Source organism: Homo sapiens, chromosome 6, assembly GCF_000001405.40.
Source record: "Homo sapiens chromosome 6, GRCh38.p14 Primary Assembly".
Lineage (NCBI taxonomy): Eukaryota > Metazoa > Chordata > Mammalia > Primates > Hominidae > Homo > Homo sapiens.
In genome coordinates, this window is record NC_000006.12 from 20,861,817 (window position 1) to 20,878,961 (window position 17,145).

A 17,145-nucleotide genomic window follows, 5' to 3' on the forward strand; every position below is an offset into this window, starting at 1 on the left:
ATGTGGACAGAGAGATGCTTAGCCAGCCCACAGAAATTTTAGCTTCCCAGCTGTGACTCCAGACATGTGAATGGAGAAGTCATATTGAATGTTCCAGCCACCACATTGATCAAATGACCTGCCCACCTGAGCCTATCCCAGATTGCAGAAGAATTATTTTAAGCCAGTTATTTTTTGTATGATGTGTTATGCAGCCAGACATATTTTGTTACTTTTTGACATGTATTTTAATAGTAAAATATTATAATACCGTTACATTTAACTCATAAGATTAGTTAGATAAATTGAGGTATGTTTTCCATGAAACTCAATATGTAGTAATATTAGGATTATAGTTTTAACAATTACTGGCATATCACCAGGAACTTTTAAGTGCAGAGAAAGCTAAAAATCACACAGCCAGTGGCCAAGTGGCTTACAGTTTACAGCCTAGCATGTAAGCCGTTATATCACGGAGTAATAAGAGCAGCGATTCAGTTAAGCTTGTGATACTATGACATTTTGATTAAAACCAGAATAGGTTCAATTCTGTTTCCATAGTTTCTAGCTCTGTGACCTTAAGAAAGTTACTTACTCTTATCCAACCTCAGTTTTCCCATTGTAAAAATAAGGATAAAGCATACTTACTAAATACCTGAAAATTAAAATAGTATAATACTAAGTCTGCAATACTTGGAAAATGCTTAATAAATGAATTCTTATTATTACTGTTCTTAATGATATAACAAGAGAGCAAGGAGAAAGGAGGAACAGGAAAAAATAAGTCACCACCTAAGAAATGACTGTTGACATTCTTTCTGCCTTGTCTTCTTTCCAACTTGTGTGTGTGTGTGTGTGTGTGTGTGTGCGCGCGTGCATGCGCGCGTGCGCATATACCCATATACTCTCACATAGCTATGCCTGGGCTTCATTTAAGAAGAAACACTGAGGCCAGGCAAAGTGGCTCATGCCTGTAATCCCAGCACTTTGGGAGGCTGAGGTGGGTGGATCACCTGAGGCCAGGAGTTCGAGACCAGCCTGACCAACATGGAGAAACTCCGCCTCTACTAAAAATACAAAAATTAGCTAGGTGTGGTGGTGGGTGCCTGTAATCCCAGCTACTTGGAAGGCTGAGGCAGGAGAATCACTTGAACCCGGAGGCAGAGGTTGCAGTGAGCTGAGATCGTGCCATTGCACTCCAGCCTGGGCAACAAGAGCAAAACTCCGTTTCAATAAAAAAAAGAAGAGGAAACACTGGACTATATGCATATTTATAAAGTGCATACAGATCCCCTGGGAATTTTGTTAACATGCAAATTTTATTTTGGTGGGTCTTGTATGGGGCCTGAGAGTCTGCATTTTTAAGCTCCCAGGTAATGCTGATACTGCTGGTGCATGGGTCCCACTGAGTAGAAATGGACTGTAGGATGACATGATGCTTGTGGCCCTTTGTATTTTGGTCTCAGTTCTCTTCAGCCATCATCTCTCCTCATTCTGCACCACATAATTGGTTCTGCAATCACCACATAATTTTTTCTTCATACATCATCAATAGTGCTTACTAGATTTAGACAAAGTGATTTGTTTAGATGTTTATATCCTCTACCTCCTCTTCAGTAAAGACCCCTTGGGTCTTACTTATCTTGATATCACTATTAATGTTCAATAAATGTTTTTTGAATGAATGTATGCATGCATGCCTCTATGATTCTCAGAACTGTAAAATGGAAACTTCATCTTTTGCCTTACTAATTGGAAGCAGCGAACATTCTCAGAATGAGCACTGTAAATGTCTGGATGCTGGATTTTGAAGGAATACCCAACTAGCACCCATAATTGGTAATGAGAAAAATGGGTTGTTCACAGATGTGAGGTAATTTAAGGAGGATAATATGGATTGGGCACAGTTAAGACTATATATTTTTATGAATATTAATGTATACCCATACTGTAATATGTAAGCAAATAATGCCAAACTAGGTAATATTTGAAATGAAGGGAATCATTTATATATGAAATGTTGAAGAAAACTGGAATTAAAAAGAAAATACATTTCCTTTGAAAAATTTGATTGTTTTTACATTTATATTTGTTCACTCTGGTTACATCTGTGCTTTTCAGACTTGAAATAACTTATATGCAATGGTCTGACCTTCATTTTATAGTCATACTGACTTGGAGATGTAATTCACTTATGTAATTTGTTTTAGTAAAAAAAGGAGGAGAGGTTAGGAGAAACTTGGCACGATGTTAACTGGAGAATAAATTGAATAAAGATTTTAAAATAATTTCACTTACCGTATTAGCCCAGCATTTGAATGTTTTCAGCAATAATGTATCTGTAACTAAATTAATTAATAAGTAATGCTGTCACATGAAAAATATCCCTTTCCCCATTAATTTTGAAAATCTGTAATGTTTTTACTTAACTGCAACTGACTTAACTTAACTTACTTAACTTAAAATGCAACTGACATTTTGCATTTTATTGTGTTTCTAGACTTAAAATGGTGACATTTAAAATAGCTTACTTTGAGTTAATACAAGCAAATTATTGAGTTTTTTTCTAGCACATTAGCCAAGGTTAGTGTGCCTGTTAATCCTAATTGTTATTACTATTATTTGTTTATTTAACAAACATTTGTCAAGTGCCTATTAAGTGGAGAGTTTCTGATAGTGAAATGATGTTTACATTTTACATATTCTACTATGAATTCTGGAACATTAGAAGAAGCAATTTGTGATTTCTAACTGTGACTGATAGCAAGTTATGAAACAAATATATTTTTCTCTTCATAAAATATAAAATTGCTAAAAAATAAAGTGCTACTTAATGATGGTTGGCTTGTTCAGAATAAATAAAGAGAAAACTAAATGGAAACTTGGACCAGTGTATTTTAGGTAAAATGGTATTTCTCAAATTGAATATCAGCTATTTCTTGACATTTTATGATGTAGTCAACCACTCTATTGCTAAGTATTCTTAAACATCGACTTCAGAAATCAAAATTATCATTCCTAAATAAGTAAAAGTTTATTGTACATGCTGCATGATATTTATTATATCCTACCATCGATAAACATAAATAGCACATGGCTGATTTTATCTCTTTATTTTTATTCTTTTCTTATTTATAATGATTGTTTTCTGTGAGCACAGGTGTGATTATAAATACAATTCAGGCATTTTGCCGTTTTATGGTCCTTATATAAATAAAATTTTCTAAAGTGTGTATCAAATAATTTTCCTTGCACTTTTACATCTAGCTTTTCATTTCATCTTTATATTCACCTCATGAATTATTGCTGCTGGTGCTTGTTATCTCTGTTTTGCTGAAGCACAGAGAGGTTACGCTTAGAGTCTGAAGAAGAGTAGTAAAATTGAGATTTCCTGATTGATTGGCCTCTGCACTTTGCACTATAGCATGCTGTTCCTCAGGGAAAATGTTGGGCTTAAATACTTGGTATTGCAAATGCATTTGTTGCTATAGGTGCAATTTAGTTTATTATGATAACTGGGGTCATTTCATCAGTTTGGATCATTTTGAGAGAAGCCCTTAGTGGAATTGCCATCACAATGCTCTTGAATGGTGGCCCTGACAATATTTCCCCAGACCTCAGTTTCGTTGTCCATAGCTGTTGCAAAAAGATTAAATACCTGTTAAATACAACAGAATACTGAAAATCAGAGCCAAGCAAAACTTCTAGGCTCTAGGAACCTTAATATACTAAGAGAAAAGTGTTTTAATATTTGTATTAGTAAACAAGACTACATTTAAGTGCATTCACTAAGTAGTTCTGTAAGGTACATTTAAAACTAACTCTGCTGAAATTGTAAAAAAAAAAATCTGTTCTTATCAAATTTTGAGATTGAAAATATTTAAAATAAAAGAAAAATCTGCATTTCATGTTTTAGAAATGTGCATAAAATGGATATAGTAATGATAATGATGCAGAAAGATTGGTTCTGCCACATATACTTCCATTAATTTGAGACTTGGGATCCATGAAGATACTTTAGGTCTCCAGCGTACCCATCACAGTAACTTGATTGCCTAAAATCTATGTGCCCCTCATGCCACAGGCTTGCATTAAATGAACTGTGAAGTTTAATTTGAAAACTATTTGCAAACCAATTCCTATAAAAATGGATTTATAGCTGGAAACCGAGTACTTCAGAAGTGCTGAGTAAATGTAGTTGTGTGCCTGATTTTAATTTTAGGCAATTGTATTTGTGATCTGCTCTTGTTTTGCTTTACTTTTTGAGAACCAGTGCCCCAAAGAAAGAAAAAATAAACCTACTTTTGTTTCTAGTTTATTTGCAAACCAGGTCAGACGCCCTTGATTAGCTCTCAGTTGGAGGATAATTTGAACCTTGACAGATTGAACCCAAACAGCAGGGTTTCTCTAGTCTGGCCAACAGATAGAAAAAATAAAGTAAAAGCTAATGCCAGTTCACAAGCTGTACAACAGGACTGAATAAATGTGCAACTGTTAATGAATAGCTATTTCAAATATTTACAAAAGGCCCAAGAAAAAAGAAAAGATTAGCATCTTAGGCAGCTGTTCTAAGGGAAACCTATTAGAAATAAACATGATAAATGATGCTCAAGAGCTAATATATCTGTCAAATATCAAATACACTCAGAAAAAAAACTGTTTCAGACACAAAAACTATTAAGACCCATTTGGGCATAAGAGCCATCTTGCTTTGTGGTTTACACCAGAAATTTATTCTTATACTTTTTAAAATTTATCTTTTCTAACTCCTCAAATATTCACACAGATATTATTTTACAGATTTTAAGGCCAGGAGTTAGTGGATAGAATCATTAGAGTTGTGTCCATCGTGATTAAATTGGTTAGAAATTTAAAAATTCACCCATGTGTCTTTGTATGAAGATACACCATAACTTGTTATTTTACGGGGTTCCTGACTACATAATAGTTTGACTGTGACAGTAACACCATTTTAGCATCAGGACGGTTTTGCTAGGAAATGCTACATAAAAATGGAAATTATTCCTGAAGCAGCGAGGGATTGGTTCCCAATGCAGATTACAGGTACAGTTACTATTGCCTAAACATGCTTGGACATGTTTCTACAAACCCATCCTTGTCTTTTTATATAAAATATTCCTTTTGCACTAAGCTAAAATTAAAGCAAGCTGTATGTGACATTTATTGGTGACTTATACAGTAGACCCTTAACATTCAGGACCAAGCATTCTGTTTTTAACTATTTCTTCATACCGTGAAAGTCTGTGGAGAGAAGCAATTTGAATTTCCTGAGGCTTCAATTTGTGTTTGAATAGCTTGTACTCTTAGGCTCAAATGGAGGATCAAGTCATTTATTTGATGAGGGAGCTTAGCCAGCATCTCGGCATTTGTATCTCAGTGTAATATAGAGTAAATCTCTTACAATTTTTTAGTTGTAAATTACCAGATCTTTGTTTCTGTATGGAAGATTGTCACCGAAAGGAAAGCTAATTATTAATGGCATGACCTTTGTGAATTTGGAGATTTATAGACAATAAGGATCTACTGTGTTAATATTTGAACAGTTGTCAAATAACGGTTATTTTGATTTTTGGTCATTTTCTAACATGTAAAAAGTGTGATTCACACCAGCATGAGTCATTTTGTGAATGTTCAAAAAACACGATTTATGTTTGAAGTGTATCGTGTTCAGTTTAGATGACTGAACTGCTTTATAGTTGCAGCCCAGACATCACTAATCTAACAGATTTCAGACGACTGTCAGATTAGGTGTGTTGTATTATTAGAGACACAGTATGTTTTCAGGCCAATTTCAGAACCAGTGGAGGAGTTTGGTCATTCTTAGCCCCTTCTGACAGGATAAGTGTTGTCACAGAGACCATGGTGAAGGCTGACACAGAATCATGGGACTTCATGGTCTGGTCCTAACCTGTTTCTCTGATTTTACATTTCATTCCTCTCCAAGGATGCACTTATTTCAGCAGTATCTTTGTTGAATAATTTCCCCTATCCCTAACCCAAACTAGCACTATCAAAAGCTTCATAATTACCTGTCACCTGGAATCGCCTTTAATCACCATTAATTCATTGTTGCTCACTAATGTAGAGGTTAGGAAATGGGAGGTAAATGGCCAAAGTACGTATTCCATATATAGTACATCTATATGGATGTATAGAGGGGGCATGAATAGGTATTAAGGGAATGAGGAAGAAAGCTAGGCAAATTTGTCCTTTCTTTTGAGCTACGTGTTACTTCTGTATAATAAACAAATCTTATATTGCGGTTTAATTAGTTCAGAGACACACATAGGCATACACTCATGCATGAGGAGAATTATAATTTGTGCATATAAAAAGGGAAATATCAACACTGTTGATATTTTTAATGGTGACTTTCCTATTTCTGCCGTGTAGAAAAGGTACTAAATATCACCCCCATTCTAAAAGTAGTTTTGGTGAAATCTGAAAGGGTCTGCTCCTTTTTTAGTTGATCCAGACTCCATTGATAACACTAAATTTTCATGCTGTTCTGCAGTTATAGACCCTTAAACTTAGACTCTCTTTGTACTTCATCATTGTAATTTACACACTAGGTTGGTACATTCTCTTCAAGACAGTTTGCCTTGTGCTTCCAGCTGCTCCCCAATAGCCATTGTGCTGAATAAGCACTTATTTCAGTATGTCCTTGATACAATTAATGCAGGCATCTGCAGAAGCGGCCGTGGCAGCAGCAGCTGCAGTGCCTTATGGAAGCCAACTTCTGCTTAGCATTGTGATAAAAGAAATAGTTTTGAGCTGGAAGCTAATGTTGGCTTATTTTTAGCATAAAAAGAGTTGCACCTGCCAGGGCTAGCGGAGGACCGAGGTTTGTTGATTACACGTTCTTGTTAGTGCCATTGTTATTGGTAAAATGGGCATGATGTCATCCTTATCAAACTGAATTGGCACCCTGCAGAGTGACAAATAATTTACCCTCTGCGGTTTTATCAGCATGGGCCGTGTGTTAGAAGTGACTAGAGTGCTGAGTTTTCACAGTTGAATGCTATGGAACTGCAGAGGTGTATGAAAATGAAAGGGATTGATACTTGTAATCAGTGCACATAGTAATGGCCAAGGTGTAATGAAACATAAGTGCACATTTAGGGTAATTATGCTGCTACCAGGTGGGGCCCTGGGGCTTTGCATGTATAGAAGCTGCTTGAGGTGGCGGATGTGCAGCGAGGAATACTGCAGCACCATCTGGTAGATTCTCATTTTCTCATTAATTCTTCTGTCCCCTAAGTCTGGGCTACATTGACTTTGAACAGCACTTCATCTGTTCAGTATCTCATCTCATTTTAGTTGGGAGTTGCTCTCAACAGTGGTATTGATATGATGTAATTCACAATCTCGGCCATGTGAGATATATTAAAACAAATCATCTAATTGATTTTCTTTTTAAGTAAAGCTAACTGTCCCTAGTAACATTCACATGACCATCTGATTCTAAACCATTTACCACTCTTGTAGTTATTTAAATTAAAATAGAGTATTTGTTTGATTTAAATTAGCCAAATGAACTTTGTTCTTCAGAATAATTTATAAATAAAAGTATAATTTAAAGAGTAAATAGTAAACCACATTGCATTTTCCTTGGTCATTTTTTAACGTGTGTGTTTTATTTCTACAGGCCGATGTAGTTTTTGTCTCAAATATAACAAAAACTTGTTTATTAGTGAAGCTTCAGAATAAGAAAGTACAGTGATGGTTGCCCAGCAGTATAAACATACTAAACTCCACTGAATGCACAGTTAAGAATGGGTAAAATGGCTAAAAACAAAAAAATAGTATTTGAGGTTATATATTGTGTAAGGAAGTAAAATTCTTAAAACTTGCCAAATTAATTTTATACGAATGCTTTCACATAACATTAAAAATAAGATTTCTAGCATAATATTAGTAGGTCATATATGGTTGATTTCCTTATCAATATGAATATTAATATCATGAAACATTTTTAAAGATCCATAGTATATATTCATATAACACAAATAGTCACAATGAAGTAGCATCTGATGGCTGATTTTTTAATGCTGTATAATTTATAACGGGGTGCAGTGTATCAAAATAAGACGATCTAGCATCTGTGATTGTAGGTAACTGACATTAGTGATTTCACGATTTCTTTAATAAGTACAAATATAACATTTATATGGTCTGAGTGCTTGAACACCTTTCTATAAATAATAGAAATGTCCCCATTAAAATGTTCCACTTAGAGAATCCCCGTGCATTTTGTCATTTTATTTCCATGAATGTTCCAAAAATGGAAAACGAGAGAAAAACCTATTCGCTTCTTCCAAACACTACATGAATGCTCCCTGTGATGCCCTTGAGGTCAGTGTTTGTCAGTGTAGTGCCACAAAGATGTGGAGAGCTGTTCTGTCAGTGACGCTGCTGCCATCTGAATTTCCCATCACTCATTTCCAACCTATTGTCCAGATACTGCAGGCTTCATGAGAGGATAGATTTATAAGCTACTTTAGTACTTTAAAATGCCCAACTAACTTTTTTCCCCATTTACTTTGAATAACCCTACTATAAGAGGTTAACAAAATGTATCTTATTTTTCTCCTATTATATTTCTAGAAACTCATTAGGGCAGCAACAAGAGTTGGTTGAAAACTCCTTTTAAGTTACATCTTGGGAATTTACTTGATTATTACTTAATATACACTGTGATGATAGAAAGCATACCAGCAGTACTTTCCTTCTTTCCTGACGTTTACTTGTTTGTTTTCAAAGCATTAAAATATCAGCATTTTTTTCCCCTCATACATTCAGTAGACATTTGCTCTGTCATCTGTTTCTTTACAGGCTGTGAGTATAGGAAGAGCCTGGGTAGTGAGATTACACTGTTGAATCCTGGCTTGGCCACTAGCCAGGTATATGACTTTGGGCAAATAATTTAACCTTTGAAATTGTCAATTGAAATTGAAAGTGTCAATTGTTTCAACATGTAAATAATAATTCTTTGCCTTGCATAAATTGTGAGAAATCATCATAATGATTGAGCATGAGCACTCAGTAGATGGTCAGGACTGTTATGGTGCACATTTACCAACAAAAGATCCATAGCATAAAAATGATCAAGAACCCATAAACTCATATTTAAATTATCTTCAAAGAAATCATTACCCAGGAAAAATCCAAGAGTAAGTTGTTATATTTACTAATACTGCGCATTCCTCAAGGGCAAGGGTGGCCTCATACCCACACAATTCCAAGGTACTTATTGCACACAAGTAATGCTAACTGATTGAGTGGCATTAACCAATTAGGAGAAGTACCTGTGGATCCCTTCTCATGATGATATTTTTAAATGTGTAAAATAAAATTCATAGGATTAAAAGAAAGCAAGTTATATTGAAATAGCGTTATCAGTACATGAACATTTTCGTGATATATGTGCTTCTTTATCAATAAGCTGAATAAGATGCAGCTGTGTGTCTAATAATTACCATAATTTCAAAGTATTGTATATTTCAAGATACCTGAAATAATTGTAATATGATATGCAAATTTTTATAATTTCTCATGGGTGAAATCACAGCCACTACAAATAGCTATAACTTGTTGCCTACATTCACAGTTGTAGAATTGGTAAATTTTGGCAAGAAATAAATGAAAACGAAGTTATGATTTTTTATTTTTATTTTTTGCACCCAAGTTCGGTCTCTTCCCACTCTCTTAGTCTGTTCAGTCTCAAATAGCTTTCTTAATGAAGATATAAACAACAACAACGACAAAAATTAATAAAAGCGCTTAGCAACACCAAGAAAATAATCCAAAAATGATTAGGCCAGAAGGTTTGTGCTGTCTTGGCCCTTGACCAAGACCTCTAGTTGATAGATCCTTCAAGGTTACCTCTCTCAGCCCCCTTCTAGAAGATTAACCATGTCTTAGAAATTGGTGCTAAGTAGTTCCTTCTTATTTGATGATGATTTTAAATGCATGTACTATTTTGTCTGAACTAGAATCCAAACTTTCCATGAAATTAACATCATTCCCTGTTGAATCTAGGTGTCATAGCTCTATAACCTTCAATTAGTTTACAAACAATATATATGTCTCCTTACCTGTGAACAAGGAATGCTTAAGAACACAATAGGCTTGGAATTTGCAACTAATTTGGCCCAATCTTGAGTAGATGGCCAAACTAAAATCTTGAAGTTATTTTGCCCCAACATAGAGCAACAGAAAAGACTCAAGCAAGTTCCTTAGAGATTGTAGCTGCATAGTTCTAGATATCTTTAATATAGAAGGGAGTAGCCACACAAAAAATATCATGTTTAAAAACATAACCAACAACTTGTATTATTGAACATATTTTAATTTAAAAATGTATATTTTAGAACAGCAATATGAATAAATGAAAACGTGTGTGAAAATAATTCATTATTACTCTGAATAAGCCTACTTTTCCTAATTATCCCTAAAAAGTTTATTTTTCTATTTCCTGATTATCTCTTTTAAAGGTTAATTTATTCTTATAGCTTTGATTATCAAAATTATACTCAGAACTAAGTAAACAACATCCTAGCAAGGGTCATCAGTGTGTAGAGAAAGATTAATTTGGGCTTTCAAGATGGTACAGGATTATAGAGGAGGTGACCTTAAGTTGGGTTTCAAAGAACACATTGGGTTTAGAAGATGATAGAGTTATATGGAAAAAGACATTCCCATTCTAGTCTGGAGAAATAATATGAGCAAATGCTGAAAGAAATGGGCATGCATATTTCAGTCAGAGAACACTCTGCAGTCTGAATAGCTGGGTGGATACAATTCTGGAGGGGTGAAATTATTGAAGCCTTGTGTCCTATTCGTTTTCCTTTTAATCAAAGAGAACATATTAACAAATCTACATGGTAGGAAGATAATTCAGTTGTAATATAAAGGATGGTGTGAAAAGGGAAGACATTGGAGACGAAAGATTATTAAGGACTGTTAAAATGTTCCAGGTGGGAGTCTTAAACTTTGGCAGTGGTTATTGGAAAGGATGGGTTAGAACCAAAGGATATTTTAGAATACAGATTTTGAAAAACTCGAGAATTTGGAAAAGAACGCAGTCACAAATGACCAAGGATTGTAGCCTGAGTGGTTGAAAAGGGTTGTGTCGGTAATGGAACTAGAGATCAAAAAAGGAGCAGCATGTCTTATAGGGAAGGGTAATTTTAATCTTGAGCTCAGTGTAGTGTTGTCTTTATTTGTAGACAAATACAGCTGCCCGTTCCAAATTCTTATCTGTGGCTCCGTTTAAAAATTCAAGTTCAAATGAAATTTTGAGAGTCAAAAATTGGAGTAAAAGCTGAAGAGGGGACATGAGGGGCAAGAGATGATGAATAAGACGATGTTTAAGAGATCATTGATGTGGCAGTTAGGAACTTAAGAGAGCATTTCAATAGATTAGTTGTTCTCAGTCTTTAGTGTGATAAGAATTACCTAGGAAGCTTATCAAAAATGTAGATTTGGGAACTCTTTGTCATAGGTCTCTAAGACTAGGGCAGGACCTGGAAGTATGCATTTATAAACTCTCAGGTGATGCAGATAATAAATAATGATTATGGTAGCTGATATATATTGAGGACTTCTTACATGCCAGACATTGTGATTATATTTATAATCACGATCACATAAGAACCTTACTGAGTATGTATGTAATTTTCCTATTTTACAAATGAGACACAGAATCACAAAGAAGTTAAACAATTTCCTCAAATTTACATAGCCAGGAAGCGGTAGTTCTGTGGCCCATGATCTTGATCACTCTGTTGTTCCCAATAAGTGCTGATAATCAGTATTTAGAATAGGGGCCATTAGAGATACTTGCAGGAGGGCCATTGTCCCACCCTCACATCCACCAAGGCCCCCACACATTGTATTTATTTCCGTGGGTGTTTTAAAAGGCAGTGCTTTGTTTCATGTTACAATTTTTGTAACCTTGCTTAATTTTTAATATTCTTTGAGCCTTAAGAAATCTAAGAGACCAGGTTTCTCTTAACTTCCAAGAGGTCCTAGTGAGTGATTGCAAAAAAATTGGATTGCAGTGCATCGAGTTGCTAAGGGGAGGTGAAAGAATCGAAGTAGCTAACATTTGGAGGTTAAGGAGTAGTAGGGCAGGTCCGGAATTCTGTGTGGAAGGTGCTTAAGGGTGGCAGTCCCAGATGGGGGAGCTGTGGGTTTAAAACAAGCAGCCTGATTTTACTTAGAATTATGTTTGTTTGTACTGGCTTGAAGGACGTTGGGCCTGGGATATAGAAGTAAATAATTGGGGTTAGAGGTAGAGTTAGGGGGAGATGGCTAAAGCCCCATAAAAGCTACTCTTTGGTGCCCTCAACCATGGAAACAATGGAAATGGTATGGTAGATGATGAAATTGTATGGAGGAAATGGCATTTTTACATTGGGGGCTATTTATCCATGTTTCTAGATGAAAAGGAACAAGGAAATAGCAAGTTTTTTTGTTTGTTTGTTTGTTTTTTTTTTGAGATGGAGTCTCGCCCTGTCGTCCAGGCTGGATGATAGAGTGGTGTGATCTCAGCCCATTGCAACTTCCGCCTCCTGGGTTCAGGCGATTCTCCTGCCTCAGCCTTCCAAGTAGGTGTGATTACAGGTGCCCGCCACCACGCCTGGCTAATTTTTTTTTGTATTTTTATTTTATTTATTTGTTTGTTTGTTTGTTTATTTTTAAACTTTTTTTGAGATGGAGTCTCACTCTGTAACCGAGGCTGGAGTGCAGTGGTGTGATCTTGGCTCACTGCAACCTCCGCCTCCAGGTTCAAGCGATTCTCTTGCGGAGCTGGGATTACAGGCATAAGCCACCACACCCAGCTGATTTTCTGTATTTTTAGTGGAGATGGGGTTTCACCATGTTGGTCAGGCTGGTCTCGAACTCCGGGCATCAAGTGATCCGCCTACCTTGGCCTCCCAAAGTGCTGGGATTACAGACATGAGCCACCGTGCCAGGCCACAATATTTTAATATTCCTGAAAAGAGGCATCTTAATAGATGAGAGGGCGACTTCAGAAGAGATGGGAAAGGAAGGTAATGTTAGACAAACAAAAGATTAGGGACATTCCTACTCTGATACAAGAAGGAGCAAAGAGAGGTTGTGTCAAAAAACTTGAGATATTTTGAACTGATGGGAGGAGGGTTAAAGAGTTTCAGAATAAATAATGTCTAGCAGGCCGGCGCGGTGGCTCACGCCTGTAATCCCAGCACTTTGGGAGGCCGAGGCGGGTGGATCATGAGGTCAGGAGATCGAGACCATCCTGTCTAACAAGGTGAAACCCCGTCTCTACTAAAAATACAAAAAATTAGCCGGGCGCGGTGGCAGGCGCCTGTAGTCCCAGCTACTCGGGAGGCTGAGGCAGGAGAATGGCGTGAACCCGGGAAGCGGAGCTTGCAGTGAGCCGAGATTGCGCCACTGCAGTCCGCAGTCCGGCCTGGGCGACAGAGCGAGACTCCGTCTCAAAAAAAAAAAAAAAAAAAAAAAAAAGTCTAGCCCTTTTGATAAGTAGGTGGCAAGACATGCTTCCAAGTAAGCACTGAGCATTTGAAGAGATGGTTACATATGACTTGATCATTCTGTATCTTTGTAGACCTTTGAATTGATAAAAGAAAAAAAATAGTGCTTCCCACTCTTATAAAATGTTTCAGTATGTACAGTTATAATATTTCATGTTCACCATTGTCTCTGAGATGTGGGGAGGGGGGTTGGAAGATTGATTCCAGGAGAGGGCAGCAGCGCTGTAAGCATTTAATTTGGGTATATCCTTTCTCTGTTCCCTTGGCTTTTAAAAATTAAGTAATAATGTGTTCTCTGTCTCTATTACCTTCACTAATGAAAAAAAATAGGGTCTGTAAAGCTATTTAATAATCTTACAATTTATTAATTTATTAGTTTCACATTACTAAACATGGCAATTGTGGAAAATACAAAGCTACTGAAAATTATCCTCATATATAATAGATCTATTTGAAACATTTTGGTATGATTTAGACCCAGTTTTGTCCTGACTCTGTGTGTGATTTGTATAATAAGAAATTGAAAAAAAGGCTTACTAGCTTAAATAGCTTTAAAAATATAAACTGTGGGAACATAGGACTAATTGGGCTTGTTGAAAGAATTTTTAACAGATAAACATTAATTTTTATTAAGCACAGACCGAATTGAAAAAGGCTAAACTTACATGTTAAAATAATTTGGCAATCTAACTGCAGATTCAAAATTTCTGAAAATGTAAATAAATTAAAATGTAGGCAGTGTTTTACCATCTGTAATGAATTAGCATTCCATTTTTACCAGCTGCTGCTGGGGTTTTTGAAGCTGACTCAGGATCTGAGCACCCTGGTGGGTTTCTGCTGATAAATATAAGAACCTGTAGTTTAAAACTGGCAGAGCTGGACTGGGGATTAGAAAAGTCACTGCAACTTTAAGCAGCAGATTCTTTCACTTGGGGCAGGATGTAAGGGTGTACTTTCTCTAAAGATGCCGTCAGTACAAATGCGGAGGATAGATTACTACTGCTTGCTGCTAACATGACAGGACATTCAGGGTGCCACTACTGTTGAGTGTGGAGTCAGCCTTGGAGGAAAAAATCCCCAAAACCTTCTTTGGCAATTGTCTCTTATGTAGTGGACATATTTTAGGCAAAATGACAGCATTTGTGCATTGATGGGATTAATGCTTCATTCTAAGGATTAAATTCGTTAATATTTTTTCTTTGTGTACTTTTTTATTCCTAAAACTTTTATTTTGAGCATGCAGGAGACAGGGATTTCTTGGAAAGAATATGAATTTTGAAGTCAGGCAGACCTAGATATGAATGCAAATTCTGTTGCTTCTTAGCCACTTGTAACAGGCAGGCGTAGAATTCAGTGTGTAATCATTAAACATTTTGTTTTCTTTCCTCACATTGGTGAGGATAGTTTTCTTTTGAGTATTTGCTTTAGTGCCTTTAATTAATGAAAAACAACTAGTTAAAAGGTTGGCTAATTCCTTTATGATATACACACACACACGTACACACAGAGCTACCTATCTCCTCTCTTACTTTTTATTGTCAGTCTTTTTATTACAAATTAGTCTTCTACATATTATAAATTTAAATGCTAACTAGAACCAGCTAAAAAGTCAATACACTTGTTCAATCAACACTTTTATTTAACACATAGTATGTGCTGTGTATTGGAAGGTCTGGTGATGATGGTTCCAATTCTGGCCTTCTGAAGCTTATATTCTAAATGGAGGATGCTGTAGACTGCTGTGAATACGGTGGAATCAATAAGCATTTACATTGTGATGGGAAAGACTTTTGTGGTTAGGGAAGCATTCCTGCAGGCAGTGTTGTAAAATGTGGAGCACTTTACAAAAAATATGTTCATAATAGCAATTACGACTGAGGGATATGAAAACACCTCAACTGTTAAATAAGCATGGTGATTCTGACCTGGACAGATTTGTGAACGTCATCTACAAGTCTTTGCCATCTAATATCTGATGAGATTTAGGGATTTTTAGCCTAATATCTTGAAAGTATCCTTGGAGTTTTCAGATCCTCACTTTGTCCAAACTTGCTGTCCTGTTCCTGTTTTCACAGAAACTTCAGGTGTCCTCACAGGCTGACTAGGACCAAGGTATACCTATCTGACCATTATGCGGGCCAGTCTGAGGTCACTGCCCTGGGGCTGAGACCTGTGTCACTGATTTACTAGTGACTCACTGTGTATTACCGCAGCTGGCCCTTGACTCTGCTTCCTCAGCTGTAGTTCAGTATGAACTCAGAAAACTTGTTTGTGACCCGAAATTAGTTCTGTGTTCATTTCTTACTCTTACTCATGCACACATGACTCATGACTTAGTCCTTGTTTTAAACTTGTGCATTAGGGTAGCTCTGAATTATGTCCTCCTTCTCCTAGAAGCAGAACCTCTTATCCTGTTTTGACTTGGCCCTTGACTGCTTAAAATGTCTGTAGTTGGCTTTGTATGGTTATAATCCTAGCCCCTTAGGCTGGGAATTTTGGCCATCTGTGGTCTCTATTTCTAGCCTTAGCCCTAACCACCCCACTTCCTGCTGCTCCTGTCAAATGCACTTACTTATACTTTTCCGTATGTGTCTCAAGCTTTCCTACAAAGATGATGGGTCTTTGCTGACCCTATTTCTTTCGTTCAGGATGAGCTCAAAATTACCACATTAGTTTTGAAACTTGCTCTAATTTCTCCTACCAGGAGGAATTTCTTCCTTCTTGGCAATACTGTGGTATTTAATGGTATTTTACTGTTTTGCACTTTGTATTATACTTATTTGTGTTATGTCTTGTCGCCCCTACTAGACTGTAAGATGATTTTATCTGTATACCATTAAGTGTCTCATACATACAGATTCTCAGTAAAATTTTGCTGGTGGAATGGAGTGGAGACCCAGGCTTTAGATAGTAACTGGGAACAACAAGATCGAATTTCTTATCTGTTCGTACCTAATAAGCTCCTCTCTCCCCTCGCCCATAGGCTTTGCTTACCTGTCACAGAACCTACCCTGCCTTTTTTCCTACATGCGGTATTATTGTCCTGAACTCCTTCAAGTGTTAAGTAAATCAGTAAATCTTTAAAGCCAACCTTAGCGGCCAGGTGCAGTGGCTCACGCCTGTAATCCCAGCACTTTGAGGGGCGGAGGCCGGCGGATCACTTGAGATCAGGAGTTCAAGACCAGCCTGGCCAACATGGTGAAACCCCGTGTCTACCAAAAACATAAAAAATTAGCCGGGTGTGGTGATGCATGCCTGTAATCCCAGCTATTCAGGAGGCTGAGGCGCTTGAACTCGGGGAGTGGGCGGAGGTTGCAGTGAGCTGAGATCATGCCACTGCACTCCAGCCTGGGTGACAGAGCAAGACTCTGTCTCATAAATAAATAAATAGCTAACCATAGCAACTCTATCAGATTTTAAAGAAATATCCCCCTTCGGCAGGGCATGGTGGCTCACGCCTGTAATCCCAGCACTTTGCGAGGCCAACGTGGGCGGATCACCTGAGGTCAGGGGTTCAAGACCAGCCTGGCCAACATGGTGAAACCCTCTCTATACTAAAAATACAAAAATTAGTCAGGCATGGTGGCGGGCGCCTGTAATC

General features: G+C 36.9%; 1 protein-coding gene across 16 annotated transcripts in view, besides 5 other annotated features; it reads left to right on the plus strand.

Moving 5' to 3' along the window:
• CDKAL1 (CDKAL1 threonylcarbamoyladenosine tRNA methylthiotransferase) overlaps positions 1-17,145 on the plus strand; it is a 697,948-nt gene that overhangs the window by 327,360 nt on the left and 353,443 nt on the right. The window lies entirely within an intron of this gene.
• Positions 5,053-5,574: an enhancer, noted in NCBI's record as "NANOG hESC enhancer chr6:20867100-20867621 (GRCh37/hg19 assembly coordinates)". NCBI's record gives its function as "activates a minimal SCP1, AML or CMV promoter by ChIP-STARR-seq in primed H9 embryonic stem cells {active_cell/tissue: H9 hESC(primed)}" and the evidence as "EXISTENCE:reporter gene assay evidence [ECO:0000049][PMID:30033119]".
• Positions 5,053-8,482: a biological region, named in NCBI's record as "VISTA enhancer hs1340".
• Positions 5,058-8,482: an enhancer, noted in NCBI's record as "VISTA enhancer hs1340". NCBI's record gives its function as "enhancer in: neural tube[10/10] | hindbrain (rhombencephalon)[7/10] | midbrain (mesencephalon)[8/10] | forebrain[9/10]" and the evidence as "EXISTENCE:transgenic organism evidence [ECO:0001131][PMID:17130149]".
• Positions 15,265-16,464: an enhancer, noted in NCBI's record as "P300/CBP strongly-dependent group 1 enhancer chr6:20877312-20878511 (GRCh37/hg19 assembly coordinates)". NCBI's record gives its function as "activates an origin of replication core promoter dependent on BRD2, BRD4, P300/CBP, MED14 and CDK7 cofactors, with strong dependence on P300/CBP, by STARR-seq in HCT116 cells {active_cell/tissue: HCT116}" and the evidence as "EXISTENCE:reporter gene assay evidence [ECO:0000049][PMID:35650434]".
• Positions 15,808-16,037: an enhancer, noted in NCBI's record as "active region_24133". NCBI's record gives its function as "activates an Ori minimal core promoter by ATAC-STARR-seq in GM12878 lymphoblastoid cells {active_cell/tissue: GM12878}" and the evidence as "EXISTENCE:reporter gene assay evidence [ECO:0000049][PMID:35858748]".